Source organism: Homo sapiens, chromosome 11 (assembly GCF_000001405.40).
Source record: "Homo sapiens chromosome 11, GRCh38.p14 Primary Assembly".
NCBI classification, from domain to species: domain Eukaryota; kingdom Metazoa; phylum Chordata; class Mammalia; order Primates; family Hominidae; genus Homo; species Homo sapiens.
In genome coordinates, this window is record NC_000011.10 from 125,473,234 (window position 1) to 125,493,604 (window position 20,371).

The 20,371-nt window shown below is 41.9% G+C and overlaps 1 protein-coding gene across 4 annotated transcripts in view; it reads right to left on the reverse strand.

The window, feature by feature from the left end:
• FEZ1 (fasciculation and elongation protein zeta 1) overlaps positions 1 to 20,371 on the reverse strand; it is a 53,385-nt gene that overhangs the window by 30,353 nt on the left and 2,661 nt on the right. For 3 of the 4 annotated variants that reach the window (NM_005103.5, XM_005271735.3, XM_005271734.3), the window contains exons 2-3: positions 16,234 to 16,589; positions 8,301 to 8,400 (exon numbers count right to left, since the gene is read on the reverse strand). In NM_005103.5, the coding sequence (NP_005094.1) occupies positions 8,301 to 8,400; positions 16,234 to 16,544 (411 nt within the window). In that variant the 5' untranslated portion in view covers positions 16,545 to 16,589. Of the gene's footprint in view, positions 1 to 8,300; positions 8,401 to 14,965; positions 16,590 to 20,371 lie in introns of those variants that run through there. The other variant, NM_022549.4, reaches the window with a different exon arrangement.

A 20,371-nucleotide genomic window follows, 5' to 3' on the forward strand; every position in this document is an offset into this window, starting at 1 on the left:
TAGATCCGCACATACATGATCAATTGATTTTCAACAAAGATGCCAAAACAATTTAATGGGGAAGGAATAAGATTTTCAATGAATGGTACTGGAATAATTGAATAGCCATATGCAGAAAAATAAACCTTGAAGCCCAGCACTGTGGAGTGCCTCGGTAGTCCCAGCAATTGGGGAGGCTGAAGCAGGTGGATGGCTTGAGCCAAGGAGCTCAAGACCAACCTGGGAAACAGCAACCTGGGAATCAAAAATTTTAAAAAATGAGCCCTGACCCTTACTCCATACTATATACAAAACTAATTTGAAGGCTGGGCACAGTGGCTCATACCTGTAATCCCAGCACTTTGGGAGGCCAAGACGGGTGGATCACTTGAGGTCAGGAGTTCAAGACCAGTCTGGCCAAAATAGTAGAACTCTGCCTCTACTAAAAATACAAAAATTAGCTGGGCATGGTTGCAGGCACCTGTAATCCCAGCTACTCAGGAGGCACAGACAGAAGAATTGCTTGAACCTGGGAGGTGGAGGCTGCAGTGAGCCAATATTGAGTCACTGCACTCCAGCCTGGGCAACAGAGCAAGACTCCATTTCAAAAAAAAAAAAAAAAACAGAAAGAAACTGATTTGAGATGGATCATAGACCTAAATACAAGAGCTAAAATTATAAAACTTCTAGAAGAAAACTTAAGAAAAAAATCTTAGTGACCTTGGGTTTAACAAAGATTTCTTAAATACAACATAAACACAAAGTATAAAAAGGAAAATATCAATAAATTGGACCTCATCACATTTAATTTTCCTTTTCTTTTTTTTTTTGAGATGGAGTCTCACTCTGTTGCCCAGACTGGAGTGCAATGGTGCAATCTCAACCCACTGCAACCTCTGCCTCCCGGGTTCAAGCAATTCTCTTGCTTCAGCCTCCTGAGTAGCTGGGATTACAGGCACGTGCCACCATGCCAGGCTAATTTTTTTTTTTTTTTTTTTTGTATTTTTAGTAGAGACAGGGTTTCACCGTGTTAGCCAGCATGGTCTCAATCTGCTGACCTCGTGATCCACCCACCTTGGCCTCCCAAAGTGCTGGGATTACAGACATGAGCTACCACGCCCGGCCTAATTTTTCTTTTTGAGAGGGGATCTCACTATGTTGCCCAGTCTGGTCTTTAACTCCTGGCCTCAAGCAATCTGCCCACCTTAGTCTCCCAAAATGCTGGGATTACAAGCTTGAGCCACCACACTCAGCCTTCATCACATTTAAAAAACATTTGCTCTTCAAAAGATAATGTTAAGAAAATTAAAAGGCAACCTATAGACTAGGAGAAAATATTTGTAAAACATACATTCAACAAATAATTTTTATCTAGAATTTATAAGAAACTCTTATGGCCAAGCACGGTGGCTCATGCCTGTAATCCCAGCACTTTGGGAGGCCAAGGCAGGCGGATCACAAGGTCAGGAGTTCGAGACTAGCCTGACCAACATGGTGAAACCCCGTCTCTACTAAAAATACAAAAATTAGCCAGTCATGGTGGTGTGCATCTGTAATCCCAGCTACTCAGAAGGCTAAGGCAGGAGAATCACTTGAACCTGGGAGGCAGAGGTTGCAGTGAGCTGAGATTGCACCACTGCACTCCAGCCTGGGTGACAGAGCAAGACTCCAACTCAAAGAAAAAAAGAAACTCTTACAACTCAATACTAAGAACACAAACAATGTACTAAAAAAATGCACAAAAGATTTGAAGAGGCATTTCACCAAAGAAAACATACAGGCCGGGCACAGTCACGCCTGTAATCCCAGCACTTTGGGAGGCCGGGGCAGGTGGATCACTTGAGCTCAGGAATTCAAGACCATCCTAGGCAACATGGTGAAATCTCATCTCTTCTAAAAATACAAAAATTAGCTGGGTGTGGAGGTGTGCACCTATGGTCCCAGCTACTTGGGGAGCTGAGGTGTGAAGATTGCTTGAGTCCGGGAGGTGGAGGTTGCTGTGAGCTGAGATTGAGCCACTGCCCTCCAGACTGGGCAACACAGCAAGACCCTGTCTCAAAAATACACACACACACACACACACACACACACACACACACATTGTAAATAATCACTTGAAAAGATGCTCAATATTCTATGTCACTAGAGAAAAGCAAATTAGAACTGAAATAAGGTATCAATTTTGTTACTACCCATGAAGATGTCTAAATTTTAAAGATTGTCCATAACAAGTGTTAGTGAGAATATGGGACAATTACAGCTCTCAAACTGGGCAACAGTTTGGTAGTTCCTTAAAAATTTAGACATGGGAGTTAAATGATGAGAACAAATGGACACACGGAAGGGAACAATACACACTGGGCCCTACTGGAGGATGAAGGGTGGGAGGAGGGAGAGGATCAGGAAAAATAACCAATGTATACTAGGTTTAATACCTGGGTGATGAAATAATCTGTACAACAAACCCCCATGACACAATTTACCTATGTAACAAACCTGCACATGTACCCCTGAACTTAAAATAAAAGCTAAAAAAAAAAAGTTGAACATACACCTACCATATGACTCAGCCATTCCACACATAGGTTTTTATCTAAGAGAAATGGAAGCATATGTTCACACAAAGACCTACAGAAAAATGTTCACAGCAGCTTCATTTGAAATATGCAAAAAGTAGAAAAAAAACTGTTCATCTATAAGCGAATGAATAAGCCGCTGGTGATATATCCATACAACAGAATACTACTCAACAATAAAAAGAAATGAACTGTTGCTATACTTAAAAACATGGATGAATACCTAATTACATTGAGTTTAATAAGCCAGACAAAAGAAAATGTACATATTGCATGATTCCATTCATGCAAAATTCTAGAAAATGAAAACTAATCTACAACGACAGAAAGCAGATAAGTGGTTGCCCAGAGATTGGGCGGTGAGAGAGAGGGATGAGGAATATGTTGAATATCTTGATTGTGGTGATGGTTTCGCAGATATATGCAGATGTCAAAATTTACCGCATTGCTCACTTTAATATGTGCAGCTCATTATATGCCAATTACCTTTCAATTACGATATGGGGGGAAAAACAGAATAAAATAAAATGATAATATATCATGATGAAGTTGTGTGTATCTCAAGAATGCATGGTTGAGTTGACATTTGCAAATTAATTTATGAAATTCATCACATTAACATCATAAAGGAGAAAAGCTATATAATCATCTCCACAGAGGCAGTAAATAGAAATAATAAATCTTCAGAAAAAATAATAAGAAAACGTCACAATTTGAAGTCATGAGCTTCTATGTTGAAAGGACTCACTGAGGACAACATAATGAAGGAAAAAATTCATTCTAAAGCACATTATTGTAAAATTTCAAATGAGAAAGGAAAAGAACATCCTAAAAGCTTCCAGAAAGAACCAAAAAAGTCATATAATAAAGGAGCAGGAATCTAAAGATGGAGAACAGAGTCAGCCTAAAAAGAAGGACTGGGAATCGGAACAGATTTGGGGTTTCTCAACACGACCTAATGCTAGAAGAGAACAAAGCCCTCAGAATGCTAAATAATAATATTCTTATATATCCTAAAAACCATTTCCTCTGTACTCCTTTCTCAAAAATATGCTGAATAGTTTGGTTTGTTGTTGGTTTTTTTCACCAAAACAAGGAACTATATCTAGAAAGATTTTTAAAATATGGTAACCAGAAGACAGGAGTGGAAGACAAAAGAATCCCCAGCATGAAGGGAAGGACGTTCTCAGGACAGCAGCTGTGCAGCTGATCTAGCGAATGACCAGACCAGTTTGTAGCAGAAAGATGAAAGGTACTAACTGGGATGTTTTCAAGAAAAAAACATGGAATTGACACAATATAGTATCTGATTTATTTAAGCATTGTGTTATTTATACTTTTTAATTTTCTGAAAATTATGATTTTTAACATTTTAAAGATCTTTCTGGTGGGGATAGACTGTACCTTCAAGATTAGCCAATTCTGGCTGGGTACAGTGCCTCACACCTGTAATCCCAGCACTTTGGGAGGCCAAGGCAGGCGGCTCACTTGAGATCAGAAGTTCAAGACTAGCCTGGCCAATATGCAAAACCCTGTTTCTACCAAAAATACAAAAAAAAAAAAAAAATTAGCTGAGCGTCATGGTGCATTCCTGTAATTCCAGCTACCTGGGAGGGTGGGGCAGGAGAATTGCTTGAACCTGGGAGGTGGATGTTGCAGTGAGCCGAGATCGTGCCACTGCACTCCAGCCTGAGTGACAGAGTGTGACTCCATCACACACACACACAAAAAATTAGCCAATTCTTAGAGATAGCAAAGGGCTCAGCAAGCCTTCTATATGCAAACTAACCAAAGCCAAGCCCTGCCGCCTCTACCTGACCTTTACATCCCAGGAGGCAGAGTCCTCTTCCTTAGTCATCCCAGAGTCAGGTACTAGGCACTAAGGACCATCCCTAGTGTTTACAGCTTGCAGAAATTACTCAAACTAGCCAGTCCTAAACTGTTTACCCCATCTCGCCATTCCTGAGGCACTGGCCTGGCTCTCCCCTGGCTCCTTCTGCCTCCAGGGGACACTGGAGCTTCCCCATGTGGCCCCGCATGGCCCCACTATAAAAGTGGAGCTTTATGCAAAAAAAAAAAAAGGCAGCTAAAAGAAATGCAAGCAGTTGCCTGTATGGAGTAGGGAAAGACAAGAAGGCAGGGGTCTACTGTTTTGGGTGGTTGTTTTGTCTTGCACTTACAGTGCATTACTTTCAAAGCATTAATTAACTTTTTAAACTATGTAGACGTGTTACTTTGATTTTAACAAAAAATGACACTCTTTGCAGTCACAATTCAATAGTTGGTACAATATTTAATTAAATTTCTTAGTGCAGTCACAAGGACAGCACAAACAGGTTTGGGGACAACTGATTCTTAAAAATGGACCACTTGGCCAGGTGTGGCGGCTCACACCTATAATCCCAGCACTTTGGGAGGCCAAGGCGGGTGGATCACCTGAGGTTGGGAGTTCAAGACCAGCCTGGGCAACATAGTGAAACCCCATCTCTACAAAAATACAAAAATTAGCTGAGCATGATGGCACATGCCTGTAATCCCAGCTACTCAGGAAACTGAGGCAGGAGAATTGCTTGAACCTGGGAGGCGGAGGTTGCAGTGAGCCAAGATCGCGCCATTGCACTCCAGCCTGGGCAACAGAGAGAGACACCATCTCAAAAAATAAAAAAAATTGTTTTAAATGGACCACTTAAGTGGAGGTATGAGTGCTCACTAGAGAGAAGCATCACAGCTGTGCACATTCAGCATGCCAAGCGCTTTTGGTCGTATGTTTTACAGAAGGAATACAGAGCACTGGTTAATCTGGTAAATCGTTTAAACTTAGGGCAGTTAATAGAGCTCCTACTGTAATTAATCCAGATAATAAAAGAGGATGAAATAAAACAGCCTTAATCCATCTACTTTTGCTACCCTGTCCTTTTCCCATGGGTTAGATAGAAGAAATACTACAAGGAACAGAGCTCAAGATCATCCTTCTCAGGGTCATTCAGTTTGCCCTGAAATATTAACCCTCTTGAGGGAAATCTGGAAATGAGGATAAATTAAAGCCCTTTTGAAGGGCAGGCTATCTTATATATCCTTTGGCTTAATTCACAAAATGAGTTGGAAAGGTGTCAAAAGAGATAACAAAGCAAAATCTGCCTTTTGTACCATGACGGACCTGATTTAATTTCAGTAACTAGATTTATTCCATTATTGCCTCCATCTTCTTTGCGGTTTGGGTAAGTACTAAGCATCATACCTGTAAGCATTACAAGAGAACATGCACAGCCGAGAGTTCAAAACAGGACCTGAGACACAGCCTCCTATGTCTGTGCTGAGGAGGCTTGCAGGAAATCTTAGTCTCAAAGTCATCATCTCACTTGCTCCCGTCAATGAAGCCTTGAGGTTTTGAGTACCTTAGATTGCTAATTACTAGAAAAATGGAGAAGGATATATATGGCTACATTTTCAACAAATCAGTCAACTGCTGATCTCTTTGCTGTGCTATTTTGAGCAATAATCTACAAATATATTGCCGAGTAAGGGGAATCTGTTTCTTGCTCTTTTACTTGGACTCAATTCTGAAACACTTAGAAAGATTAGACCCATCCAACTCTATCACTTGCTGAGCCTGCAGGGCTGTGACAGCCCTTCCTGACGATAAATTGTCAAATTTCCTTCACAACTGAAACTAGAAAACCAAGTGAGGCAGAAATTTGCTTTTAACATAGAGCCATTAAATGATTTTATCTTTTGCTGTGCTCTGAATGTTTATGTCCCACCCCCCAAATTTATATGCTAAAATCCTAATGCCCAAAGTGATGGTATTAGACAGTGAGACCTTGTGGAGGTGATGATATCATGGAGGTGGGATGCCCACAAGTATCTTTCTAAAAGAGGCCCAAGGGAGCACTTTAGACCCTTCTACCATGTGGGGACACAGTGAGAAGGTGCCGTCTGTGAACCAGAAAGCAGGTCCTCACCAGATATTGAATCTGCCAGTGCCTTGATCTTGGACTTCCCTGCCACCAGAGCTGTGAAAATCAACTTCTGTTGTTAATAAATTACTTAGTCTAACGTATCCTGTTACAGCAGCCCAAACTGACTAAGAAACCATTCCATATGTAGATTCAGATAGGAGGGGCAATTTGGATCTTCTGAAAGGTCACCCCCTTTATGGCCTTTGCAAATCAACTCAAAATAAATATCATCTTTATTTTTCAGAAGCCCCTAAGCTACTTTCTCCCTTGGAGTCAGTAACTCATGGAGTGTGACTCTGGTCCAGACACATAAACGTCCCCTTGGTTGAGTTTCATAAACAATTCTAGGCCAGCATGGTGGCTCACACCTGTAATCCCAACACTTTGAGAGTCCGAGTTGGGTGGATTGCTTGAGCTCAGGAGTTTGAAACCAGCCTTGGTAACATGGCAAAATCCCATCTCTACAAAAAATACAAAAATTAGCCGGGCATGGTGGCGTATGCCTGTAGTCCCAGCTACTCGGGGAGGGGGTGGTGGGTAAGGCTGGAGGATCACTTGAGCCCAGGAGGTCAAGGCTGTAGTGAGCCGAGACTGTGCCACTGCACTCCAGCCTAGGCGACACAGTGAGACCCTGTCTGAGAAAAAAAGAGAGACTTCTTCCCCACTGTGTGGCTACATTGCTAATATCTGGGCCCCACCTCTGGCCATTGTCAAGTGCAAGATCCGTCAGCACTTGTTCTCAGCACTGTTTTTGTGGGCCTGAACTATTCATTTAAGATGGGAAAATCTAATTTTTTTAAACCATCATTATTTGAACCCAAGAGAAGCCCATGACAGTTTCCTCCTCTTATTTCCGGCCTGAACTGTTCATTTAAGATGAGAAAACCTGATTTTTTTAAACCACCATTATTTGAACCCAAGAGAAGCCATGACAGTTTCCTCCTCTTATTTCAGGCCACTTTATTTTTCATGTTGTAGTACACAGGTTAGAAATATTGATAGTAATGGCAGGCTGGGTGTGGTGGCTCACGCCTGTAATCCCAGCACTTTGGAAGGCCAAGGCGGGCGGATCACGGGGTCAGGAGATCAAGACCATCCTGGCTAACACAGTGAAACCACATCTCTACTAAAAATACAAAAAATTAGCCAGGCATAGTGGCATGCACCTGTAGTCCCAGCTACTCGGGATGCTGAGGCAGGAGACTCCCTTGAACCCGGGAGGCGAAGGTTGCAGTGAGCCGAGATCGTGCCACTGCACTCCAGCCTGGGCAACAGAGCGAGATTCCATCTCAAAAAAAGAAAAAAAAAAAAAGGAAAGTAATGGCAGAAAAAAAATTACTTTTGCACCAACCTAATAGAAGTGATCTGTGTTTCTGCTTTTCTATAGATGACCATTCCTATCATTTCAGATATACTGGATGTCTTCCTTATTTTTCACCCTCCTCTACAACTCCTCCTTCCCAACAATAATTTTTTTTTTAATTGAACCTCCTAGGCTCAAGCAATCCTCCCACCTCAGTCTCCTGAGTAGCTGGGACCACAAGCATGCGCCACCATGCCTGGCTAATTTTTTGTATTTTTGGTAGAAATGGGGGTTTCACCACGTGGCCCAGGCTGGTCTTAAATTACTGAACTCAAGCAATCACCCACCTCGGTCTCCCAAAGCTGAGATTACAGGCATGAGCCTCCATCAACAATTTTGAGGAAGACTGTTGAGTTACTGAATGTTTTTCTAACTGGATTCCACATCTCAAGCCCTGCTAAACCAGGGGCCCCGGAGAGGTACCTCAGTGTCAGAGCAGTTGCCATTCAGAGCCTCGATGTTTGGATCCCTCCAGTCTTCTGAGAGTGAAGGGATGTAATTGTCTGTCAGAGCATCCCAAACCCTGTAAACAAAGAGAAGCTCTCATTAACACACATCTGTGGCCTGGCCCCGCCTGGAGGAAGGAAGAGCTGGGCCGGGAGAGGAGAGAGGCTTCTGTGTGTGCCAGGCTGAGATCATCTGCCTTCCAGCATGCAGGGGCAAAGCAGCTTAAAAACTGAATCAGAGGCACATCCAGGGGAGAAAGTGCATGGAGCTTGGCCAGGGGCTTCAGTGTGAAAGGTGTTTGCTTGAGGGAAGAGGAATTTCCTACCATTGAGATACAAATGGCAGCATCTATAATCAAACTGCCTCTGGCTCTGAAAATAAATCTGCCCCTCATCCAAATAGCTCATGTTTCTGAATCTAAGAGATGCCCATGTTTCTTTTCCTATGGGCAGAGAGAGAGAGAGAGAAAGAGAGAGAGAGAGAAAGGGAGAGAGAGAGAGAGGAACACAGAGAAAGAGAGATCTGGGCAGTTTTTCTGGCTGAATCTCATTAAGATCAGAATCATTATCTAGTTTATAACCGTTTCAGTTTCAGAGGCCTACAATCTAAATGATCAGGAATTCCCTCCTTGACATCTAATGTAGGTAAGGGAATAATGCCAATACAGTGAGTGCTTACTTACTACCCAAAATGTTCTATCGAACCCACGGGTTGCAAGATCCTGCCCTCTAACAATGTAGAATCTAAATCCTGCATTGTGTCATTCCAACATCACGGACACTCTCAGGTAAATACTGTATATAAAAGAAACCAATAAATACACCTCTGTCTACACAATTTGTTTTTAGTGGGGAAAGATGGAGCTACATTTATTACATTTCTTTTTAAAATTCTGATATGTACATTATAAGAAAGGATTTCTACAATTCTTATTCCTTAACTTATTTCAGAAAGATTTCTTACAAAAAAAGAGGAGGGAGGTTGGGGAAAATTTCAAAGTCACAAACACACATCAGGAAGATACATAAATTATTCAACACCAAGAGATTAATGTAAATCAGTAAACAAAGCCCTTAAGATAATGACCGCCATGGAAGCCAATGGCACCTGAATTAATATTAATGAGGCCGGGCGCGATGGCTCACGCCTGAAATCCAGCACTTTGGAAGGCCAAGATGGGCAGATCGCTTGACTCCAGGAGTTCAAGATGAGACTGGCCAACATGGTGAAACCCTGTCTCTACAAAAAATACAAAAATTAACCAGGCATGGTAGCATGGGCCTATAGTCCCAGCTACTTGAGAGGCTTGAAGTGGGAGGATAGCCTGATCCATGGGAAGAACCTTAGGAAGTCGAGGCTGCAGTGAGCCATGATTGTGTCACTGCTCTCCAGCCTGGGTGACAGAACAAGACACTGTAAAAAAAAAAAAAAAAAAAAAAAAAAAAAACTAAAATATTAGATAATGATAAATTAGGGCTCTATGCTGCACTCTCCTTCAGGTGCCTATGCATGTCAAACACAAATGATACCCGTGACAGCAAGATTTCAAAAATAAGCAAGTATGTATATATACACCAGGGCACAGACACTTGAAATCAGAAAGTAATGAGGGCACTATTAACTAAACAAAATGCCCATATATCACATCACATTCCTGATTTTGTTTGTATCAGGAATGCGACGTGATATATGGGTTTTAAAAGCAAAAAGACTTTCTTAGTGCACAATGCATATAATTGGTGATGGAACAAATAGAAGGAACCCAAGAAAACACAATGTAATGGCAGTGCTTGGGGCATCTGCTTATTCATTATTTTCCTACCATTACAAGAAAACACTTTGAAGAGAACTCATCAAGTACTCGTTAGCCATCTACTCAGCAGGATTTCAGAGCAGACTTCTTAAACCATGGGTGATACCCTAATCTCCATCAGGCACTATTAGAGCTGCATTAATCCAGGCTAATTCTAAATCCAAGTGCCATTAGCATTCTAGAGCCAAGAAGCAAATAGGATTTGCTTTCTCCAAGACAAAACTCCAAGGCACCACACCCGCTGGAAAGGTCACTGCAGGACTACTCTTTACATCACTGCATTACATTCTCTGCTGCAAGAATGAACATGCATACAGGCACTGACCTTCAGATTTGTCCCTGCAGGAAGTGCCCACAGAAATGAAATTCAGCAAAGCCCAAAATAGGCAGGAGCCTTTTGTATCTCTCCCAGGCTGGAGGGAAGCTGAGAACTTTAACGAGCTACACACTTTCCAATGACCTTGAGACTATTTACATCCTTAAAGTGATAAGCAGGGGCTCTCTCGGGATCATTTAGAGTGCCCGCTTTTCTCATCTGAGCCTTTGCTGATAAGCTTTGAATTTTATCTTCTGATTCTACATTTTTAGCGACAATTCCCTAAACTTTTATCTTCTCAGGATTTCAAGCCATCCTCATTCTCTTTCACATTTTGTCCAGGTTTCCTTTTTCCTTGCTGACATACTTTTTATCCTTTGAAGTTTATAAACAAGCTTTAAGATAAAGCAGCTTTCTTCTCTTTATAATCAGTTGTATACCCTTTCCATACTTACCCAGTGCCCATTTAACAATAACAATAGCAGTCAACACTTGCTGAGCACTTACTATGAGCCAGGTAGTACTCTAAACCAGATTCGAAACATGGATTAATTCATTCATTCTTCACAACAATTATACAAGGCAGATGCTAATGAGAAAAAAATTGAAACATAGTGAATTTAATTCACTTGTCTCAGCTCACACTGCCAGTAATGGTAAAAGTGGGATTTGAACTTGGGCAGCACGGCTACAGAGCCCATATTCCTAACCACTTAACAATTCCAAGTCTTTATGAATTCTGTAATTGGCATCGGTATGGGCATCAGAATAACATACCAAGTTCCTAATCATAACCTAGGAGAGCAGTTTAGAAACTGGCTCTGCGTGAAAATTAGCTGGGCGTGGTGGCCCACACCTGTAATCTCAGCTACTTGGGAGGCTGAGGCAGGAGAATCACTTGAACCTGGGAGGCGGAGGTTGCAGTGAGCCGAGATGGCGCCATTGCACTCCATCCTGGGCAACAAGAGTGAAACTCTGTCTCAAAAAAAAAAAAGAAGAAAAGAAAAAAAAAAAGAAACTGGCTCTGCGTGAGAAACCCATACGTACGATGATCCTGAACATTGTGTTTTCATGGATCTACAGAAGGAGGAATGGCAAAGGTAGCAGGGGTGCATGGCCACTTTCTATGTAGATCTCCAGCCCAGGGAAGGGCACAAGGAAGGCACAGGCAGATGCTGGCAGCCAGCAGCCTCAGCAACAGAGGAGCCAATGCAGCCAGGGCAGGGGGAAACAGCTTTCTGTGAGGAAGAGAAAGGGAAGGGCTGTCTATCCCATCATATATCCCATCATAAGCAGGGTTCTTGGGAGTGTGCATCACCCCTTTTGTGAGTACCCGGAGGTGGACTGTAAAGTTTTACTTCCCTGAGAAGCATCCTGCTATTTACTCTTACCTTGGGGAAAGAAGACTTTGAAAGCTATCTCCTCTATCATTCATCAGAGAACTAAGATTAAACAGGTTGCCTCAGTTCCTATCATTATGCTGCCATGACACCTGAGATTCAATTTGCTCTCTCCATCCCTGTATAACAGAAAAGGCTTTTTCAGGTGCATATTTTATAGCTTGGGCTTAGGTGCCTGTAGAATTGACTTAAGTATCTTTCGCCACAGAGAGCAGGGGCTTTGGGAAAGGCTGCTGGCAGAGTATGAGCAAACCCAGTGGAGGAGGGTGGAGACTGGGGGGTGCCAGGACACGTGTACAAAGAACTCCAGGGCCTGGAACTGGCAACATAGCCATCAGGGTTCTCTCAGTCCTGATGCACACGTAAACCCTTATATACCTATTTCTGACAATATGGCAGGCAGCTTAAAGGGCTTATTAGAATTCTAACTTGCTGACATTTCCCTCAAGCCTGGCTACTTCCCTTGTCTAGTGTTTTGCTGGTGTGCAGTCATGCCAATATCCACACCCAAATGTGTATTAATTTGAGTACACCTTTGCACTTTATGTTTAGAAAGTAGAAATTAGTGGCTGGGCGTGGTGGCTCACGCCTGTAATCCTAGCACTTTGGGAGGCTGAGGCGGGTGGATTGCCTGAGCTCAGGAGTTCGAGACCAGCTTGGACAACATGGTGAAAACCCATGTCTACTAAAAGACAAAAAAAAAAAAAAAATTAGTCCGGCGTGGCAGCGTTTGCCTGTAATCCCAGCTACTCGGGAGGCTGAGGCAGGAGAATTGCTTGAAACAAGGAAGCGGAGCTTGCAGCGAGCCGAGATCATGCCACTGCACTCCAGCCTGGGCAACAGAGTGAGACTCTGTCTCAAAAAGAAAGAAAGTAGAAATTATTAGCAGCACATTAATGCGTTTGCTCAACTTTCTAGATGTCCTCAAATGTTTAAATAGAATCAATACTATATCCGCTTTCTATAACCTCTAAAAAGAGAATTAAATTTTCTAAAAATCACAATTATGTGTAGTTTTCCCTAGCTGACTATTTGGTATTTACTTGTCTTCAACATGTAGTATATCTGATGACAGGCAGTTTATTGTGTGCACTTTATTTTTAACATCACCTATAACAATTCTATCTGAAGAAACAGCCATTGCATGGTTAGCCCCTCTGTCTTCAGGGTACTCGTAAGAGGGCTGATAGGGATCCCCAGTGACGTAGGAGGTAAGCTGAGGGCCGTCAATTTCCATTTTGTAGTGACCCCTAAGAGGCTGTGACCTCCAGGCCCAATCTCTTATGGCAAAGGAAGAGGGTGGTCACATATACACAAAGAAGAGATTCTGGGATATTTCTTGAATGCAAAACCAAAAAATGTGTATTCAAATCTGACTCTCCTTTAATGCCTAGAACTTCCATGCCCTGACAGATCAGAGATAAGTTGACAAATCTTAGCCAACTCCCCTCTTGGCTAAATAGTTCCAAATGAAGACTAAAGAAAGCTTCTAAGGGAATCACTACATTTGCTCTATGATTTGTGCTGTCTTTAAGGAGGCAGTTTAACCAAGTATTTCCCTGCTTTTGTTTTAAGCTTCTATTATTTACCTCTAACCCATCCACAGCACTTTTCACTCATTTGTGGATGAAACAGCCCTCTAAATACTAAACCGGAACAAGTTTATAACAATAACATTAGAGCTATGTTCAGGAGAAGTGTAGTCAGGTGAGATATTAAGTCACCCTTTTCCTTTACTTAGCCATAATTTCACAGTTGAAATATCTGGATAGTGTCTATGAAACAAAGTGTGTAACAGAATTCTGATTTTTATTTTAAATTATAAAGAGGGGTTAGAACTGAATGCCTAGAAAGTGTTGTGTTAATTTTTCTCTTCCCAGCTTCCTCCCGCTACACTGTCCCCAAATTATACCTTATCTCGAAGGAATTATTCAATCTTTGGTCTCTTAACTGAGGCAGTCAATGAGGCAGTCAAGTCAGAAAAATCAGGCTGAGGAGGCCAATAATCCCATGTGATGGTAATTAACATTGAGTGGCCTCTTCTAATGTGCTAGAAGACAGTAAGAATCTGCTCATTGGGCCTTCATCCTTAATGAGGCAGAGGAGGGGTTTTGATAGGGGGGAAATGATTTGTTGGAAGCAAAAGGAATGGGACGCATCTTGAAATGTCATTTTCAGAGCACCTGGGCATCCTGGGTGAGGTAAGAAATTAGGTTCTTTACAAGTCCTTAGCCTCACTTCATCAAGATTGAGCTCTGGAGGTTTCATAGATGAGGACCTACACAGTCAACCAGGGTTAAATGACTTGCCCAAGGTCACACAGCGAGTTAGAGAGAGTACCAAAATTAGAATTCATAGTCTTTGTATTTCTAGTTCATTGGCTGGTGCACTAGAACGAAAAAATATTCGGCATAATAAACCCCCAGAGCCATTCTTTTTTGACTTATAAATGTTGAGCAGATAACAGGCTCAGAATCTAAAAAGAATCTGTTTGAAACTTAAAATTTAAACACATAGCCCACAGCTATAGTACTAGTCAGCAGAATGAAATGTTCTCTGTGATCATACCTTCCGGCCAGCATTAATTAAAAAGAAAAGAAGGAAATGGTGTGGGCTTAGAAATATATTACATGTACATACAAGGCTACTAGCTATTATCACTCATCTAGTTTATTTGATATTCAATATTTCATTCAAAAATATTATTTGCACATTGCACTGTATTAGACAGTGGGGCTGTAAGAGTGAATCAGACAGATATTTGGCCCCTCTATGTGTAAAAGTAGAGTCTTACAGTAGTCATCAAATAAGCAACCCTCTCCCAAATACAGTCAGGTTCCAATCCTCTAGGACGTGCCTCTTACCCCATTATTTGTGGGCCATTCTTCCCACTCAAATCCACAAAAAGGGAAACAAAAGCACAGGTGCTTCAGACTTCCCTGACGTTTGACATTTCTTGTGTGATAGCTAAGAACAATGGATGCATATTGTATCTCTGCAGGGAACTCATGTAGACAGTAGTCCCCCCTTATCTGTGGTTTTGCTTTCCCAGGGCTCGGTTATCTGCTGTACAGTACAATGAAATATTTTGAAAGAGAGAGAGAAAGAGAGACCACATTCACATAATTTTTATTACAATATATTGTTATAATTGCTCTATTTTGCTGTGAGCTGTTGTTAGTCTCTTACTGTGCCTAACTTATAAACTGAACTTTATCATATGTACGTACATACAGGAAAAAACATTAGGGTTTGGTACTAGCAGCGGTTTCAGGCATTAACTGGGGGTCTTAAAACATATCCCCCACCATGGGCCAGGTGTGGTGACTCACGCCTGTAATCCCAGCACTTTGGGAGGCCAAGGCGGGCAAATCACCAGGTCAGGAGTTCGAGACCAGCCTGGCCAACATGGTGAAACTCCCATCTCTACTCAAAATACAAAAATTAGTCGGGCATGGTGGCGCACACCTGTAGTCCCAGCTACTCAGGAGGCTGAGGCAGGAGAATAGCTTGAACCTGGGAGGTGGAGGTTGCAGTGAGCCAAAATTGTGCCATTGCACTCCAGCCTGGGCGATAGAATGAAACTTCATCTCAAAAAAAAACAAAACAAAACAAAACAAAAAAACACATCCCCCGAGGATAGCGGGGAACCACTGAATTTTTACTAAATGCCTAAGACATCCTTCTTTAATTTGTGTAACATATCACCCCCTTCTCTTTCTAGTCCCTCCTGAAAGAGTACTTTTCTCAGATCCCTTTTCTTGACTACTATTAAGACCCTAGAAAGTAGCGAGCAAGTGATACAAGGAATCTGCATACTCAAAGGCCACATCACCTAGTTTCCACCTTTACTTTGTCCAGGGTAGCCCGCTGTGCTCTCAGTTCAGTTTAGATGCTTTCTTATGTGGACATATCCTAACATCTGTAGATAACTCTCCAGGCCTGAGGGGCTGTCAAAAATTCGGGATTTTCAAAATTCTGGTGTTTCTTGAAGCAAATTAGTCCAATAACATAGATTCATCCATCATGGTTAATTAATTTTTTCTGGCCTTTATTTCTAATATCTCGCTGGATTTCCACTGATATAAAGAAAGCTTAAGATAGACAGACCCTGAAATTTACTGTGCTCCTGAAATTCCATTTTGTATCTAGGAAAACCTTCATTCCTCTAAGGTTTCAATTTAAGAAAGTTCTCCTCAGGGGACTGTAAAGGGACATATATAGAGCTATGACAGCAAGTACCAGGGCACTGCTCCGCTGGCAACACGAAAATGAAAGTAATAGCCCATAAACCTATAGACAGAAACCAGCACTATGTCAAGGAGACAAGGACTACAGGGCTCTCGACTGAAGCAGGAGAGGGCAATTAAGACTTCTTACTCCTCGTCCTGAAGGGTCTCCTCCTCCTCTTGGATCTGTAACTGGTTCTTCACGGGAGCTAGGTTCTCGGTCTTGGCGTTGTAGTTCCGAAAGCAGACATTGAGCTTCTCATCAAATTCATTTACGAGGTCCTCCATGGACTTGAAGCTGATTATTTCGGAAGAAAAATTCTCAAGCTCGGAGAGGGAGGGGTCCTCGAGATGGTGGGGAGATGAACCATAGAAACACTGGGGCTTCTCCTCCGGGTCCTCCGAGCAGGAGGGTCGAAGGTCCTCAAACTCTTCATCCAGACTCACCAGTGGGGCCTCCATTCTTGCTCAGCAGGAGAACAACAGCGACTTTCAGGATGAGTTTATCTAAAAGAAATGAACAGCGTAATGTGAGTTTAGACCAGGCTAATCTAAATAATAGAGTTAACTTTAGAGACACACCTGCTTCCAATTCCCTACTCCAAAAAACAAGGCACTGGTTAAGTACGAAGCTCCTGGACAAGATCGTCTAGGTTTGCATTCTGTTCTGTCCTACCAGCTGTGACCTTGGGCAAGTGATTAATTGCTCTGTGCTTCTTATTCTTCTCAAGACAGATATAATACTGAACCCACCTCAAAGGGCTGTTAGAAGACTAAAGGAGTAAACACAGGTGAGTGCTTAAAACAGTACCTGGAAGATAATAAGTGCCAATATTATTGAATACTTTCTGTTGGTGTTTTAGTATTATTATTTTTATTACTATTACTATTACCACAGATCCATATCCTTAACTATGTGATCTGAAAGCTGAAAATTCTCCATGACTTGTTTGGCAGCAAAATGTGACATGATCTAAACTCATCTGGCAACTAAACATGACCAACATGAATATAAAGCTGTTCATGGCTTTAATTTATCCCATTTTGTGTGTTTTGCTGCAGAAATATTAACTTTTTAATTACAAAGATTGCTATCCCAGATCCCACTGGATGAAATGCGGAATGTACACTCTATTACTACTTTCCAAAATCTGAAATAATCTGAATTCCAAATGCCTGGCCCCAGGGGTTTTGGATAAGGGTTTGTATACCTAGATATTACTACCCTTATCAATAAATAGTAGAAACTAATAAAACATTGGCTGGATGTGGTGGCTCATGCTTGTAATCCCAGCACTTTGGGAGGTTGAGGTGGGAGGATCATTTGAGCTCACTCAGGAGTTCAAGACCAGCCTGGGCAACATAGTAAGGTCCCATCTCTATTTTTATTTTTTTAAAAAAACTAATAAAACATCAATAGAGACCTTCCAATAAATGCCTGAGTTGTTTTTGTTTCGTTTCGCTTTTGAGACATAGCTTCACTCTGTGGCCCAGGCTGGAGTGCAGTGGTGTGATCTCAGCTCACTGCAACCTACACCTCTGGGTTCCACCAATCCTCATGCCTTGGCCTCCCAAGTAGCTGCGTGTGCCACCACACCCAGCTAATTTTTGTATTATTAGTAGAGATGGGGTTTCACCATGTTGGCCAGGCTGGTCTCGAACTCCTGACCTCAGGTGATCTACCTGCCTCAGCCTCCCAAAGTTCTGGGATTACAGGCATGAGCCACCGTGCCCAGACAAGCACCCAAGGTTTTCCCACACATAGAGCATATGCCTAGGAGCAGAGGAATAGACTAAATGATCTATTATCCTGTATCCTGTAAGAAACAGACCCAACTACCCATGTGCTCCAAAGCCATACTCCATAACCATCTTGGGCACTGCACCCTGGAACGCTGCACACACAGAACTCCCTTCAGTTCCCACCAACTGTGGGACCTCTACCCCTCATCGGGCCATCTTCATGCACTGCTTCCAACTGTGATTTATCCATCTGTGTGTACATCTGGGCCCCATTCAATTTTAACTTAAATTCCTCGAGGACACAGAAATCCTCTGGATATCTTCCCTGGCTCCAAATATACACTGCCTACCCTGTGGCTAGGCAGTCAATCAATATGTGCTCGTTGAAAAAATGATCTATCTCCCACATACAGTTTTCCATTTTCAGTTTCAGGCAGCACAAGCATTGCTGACTATCATACCCTTCTCTACACGCTCAACAGAAAGGCTACCAAGCTTTTCTCTTCGGTCTATAGGGTTATTGATATAGTTAGGTGCTCAAATTGGAGGCGCTTCCTGAGGGGAACCAGACAGCAAAATTCATGGATTTTGCCCTAGGAGTGCCCATTCTCCATCTCTACCTACAAAACTAAAACTCTAAATAAGCAAGGCAAAGGACATGCCAGGCAAGAACACTGCCAGTTTGTACCGGGATTTTGCTGGGATTAAGTTGATTACCGTTGCTTTAAAACATATTTGGAGCATTTACAGTTTGCAAAGGCAACATGATAGGACCTTTGAATACAAAAATATATACAAGTAGTACCATATCTTGGAAAGAAGACAGGCTCGAGAGCCAACAGATCTGCCAATGGCTGGCTGAGTGACAAGCATCATTGGTCCTGATTTCCTCATTTGTTATAAGGAAGGTGTTGGTACAGAGTTAACATCTTTAGGAGTTATTTTTAATAAATCAATAATTTAATTAATCATTTTGATTGAAGTAATATGTTTATTTAATCCAATATATCCAAAGTGTTACCATTTCAAAATGTAATCCACAAAAAAACTAATGAGGCAGTTTTTATTCTTTTTTTATACTAAGCCCTTTGAAATCCAGTGTATATTTTCCATTTACAGTACATCTCACTTTGGACTAGCCACATTGCAAGTGCTCAACAGTCAAATGTGGCCTGTGGCTACCGCAAGGGACAACACAGCTCTAAAGCAAACACAAGTAATTGCCAGTCAGGGGTTCTTCATCTTCAGTACATAGACCCCTGCAGGCTCTTTGAAGGTAACTATATTTCAATGAAATTGGTTTCCTTTACAAGACTAAGTATTTTATTTTATGCATTTAAAAACATTATTTGGAGAAGGAGCCCACAGGCTTCTCCATACCACCAAAGGAGGTCATAGTGCAAAAAAGATTAAGAATCCCTGAGCAACAAAAAAGTGAGATTAGAAAAGATGGCAGAATGCAGTAGAGAGTAAAACAGTTTTCACAGCCCAGGGATTTGTGTTGATTAAGGCAGTACTCTGTGATGGCTAAGAGCATAGGCTTTGGGTTCCTGTCCTGGTCCTGTCACTCCTAGTTGGGAGACTTTGGGCAAGTTATCAACCTCACTGTGCCTCAATTTCATCATCTATAAAATGGAGTTTAAAACAGTGCTTCCCTTGAAGATTACTTTTTGGACTAAATGAGATCATCTTTGAAGTGTTAAGTACAATGTGCAGAATATAGAAAGCATCCAATAAATATCAATCATTCTAGAAAAATCAAAGCTGGGCACGGTGGCTCACACCTGTAATCCCAGCAACTGGAGAGGCTGAGGCAGGAGGATTGGTTGAGCCCATGAGTTTGAGGCTATAGTGAGCTATGATCACACTACTGTATGCCAGCCTGGGTGACAAAGTGAGACCCTATCTTTAAAAAAAAAAAAAAAAAAGTTAAAAATAATTCTAGGAAAACCAGGATAGCTAACTTACATAGAAATGTGATGTGGGGGCTGGGCACAGTGGCTCATGCCTGTAATCCCAGCACTTTGGGAGGCTGAGGTGCGTGGATCACCTGAGGTCAGGAGTTCAAGACCAGCCTGGCCAACATGGCAAAACCCTGTCTCTACTAAAAATACAAAAAAAAAAAATTAGCTGAGCATGGTGGCAGGTGCCTGTAATCCCAGCTACTTGGGAGGCTGAGGCAGGAGAATCGCTTGAGCCCAAGAGGCAGAGGTTGCAGTGAGCCGAGATCATGCCATTGCACTCCAGCCTGGGCAACAAGAGCGAAACTCCATCTCAAGAAAGAAAGAAAGAAAGAAAGAGAGAAAAGAAAGAAAGAAAGAAAGAAAGAAAGAAAGAAAGAAAGAAAGAAAGAAAGAAAGAAAGAAGGAAAGAAGGAAAGAAGGAAAGAAGGAAAGAAGGAAAGAAGGAAAGAAGGAAAGAAGGAAAGAAGGAAAGAAAGAAAGAAAGAGAGAAAGAAAGAAAGAAAGAAAGAAAGAAAGAAAGAAAGAAAGAAAGGTGATGTGGGAGTGCTTCAAGTAAAAGAAAAATTATCCCTGCCATGATAT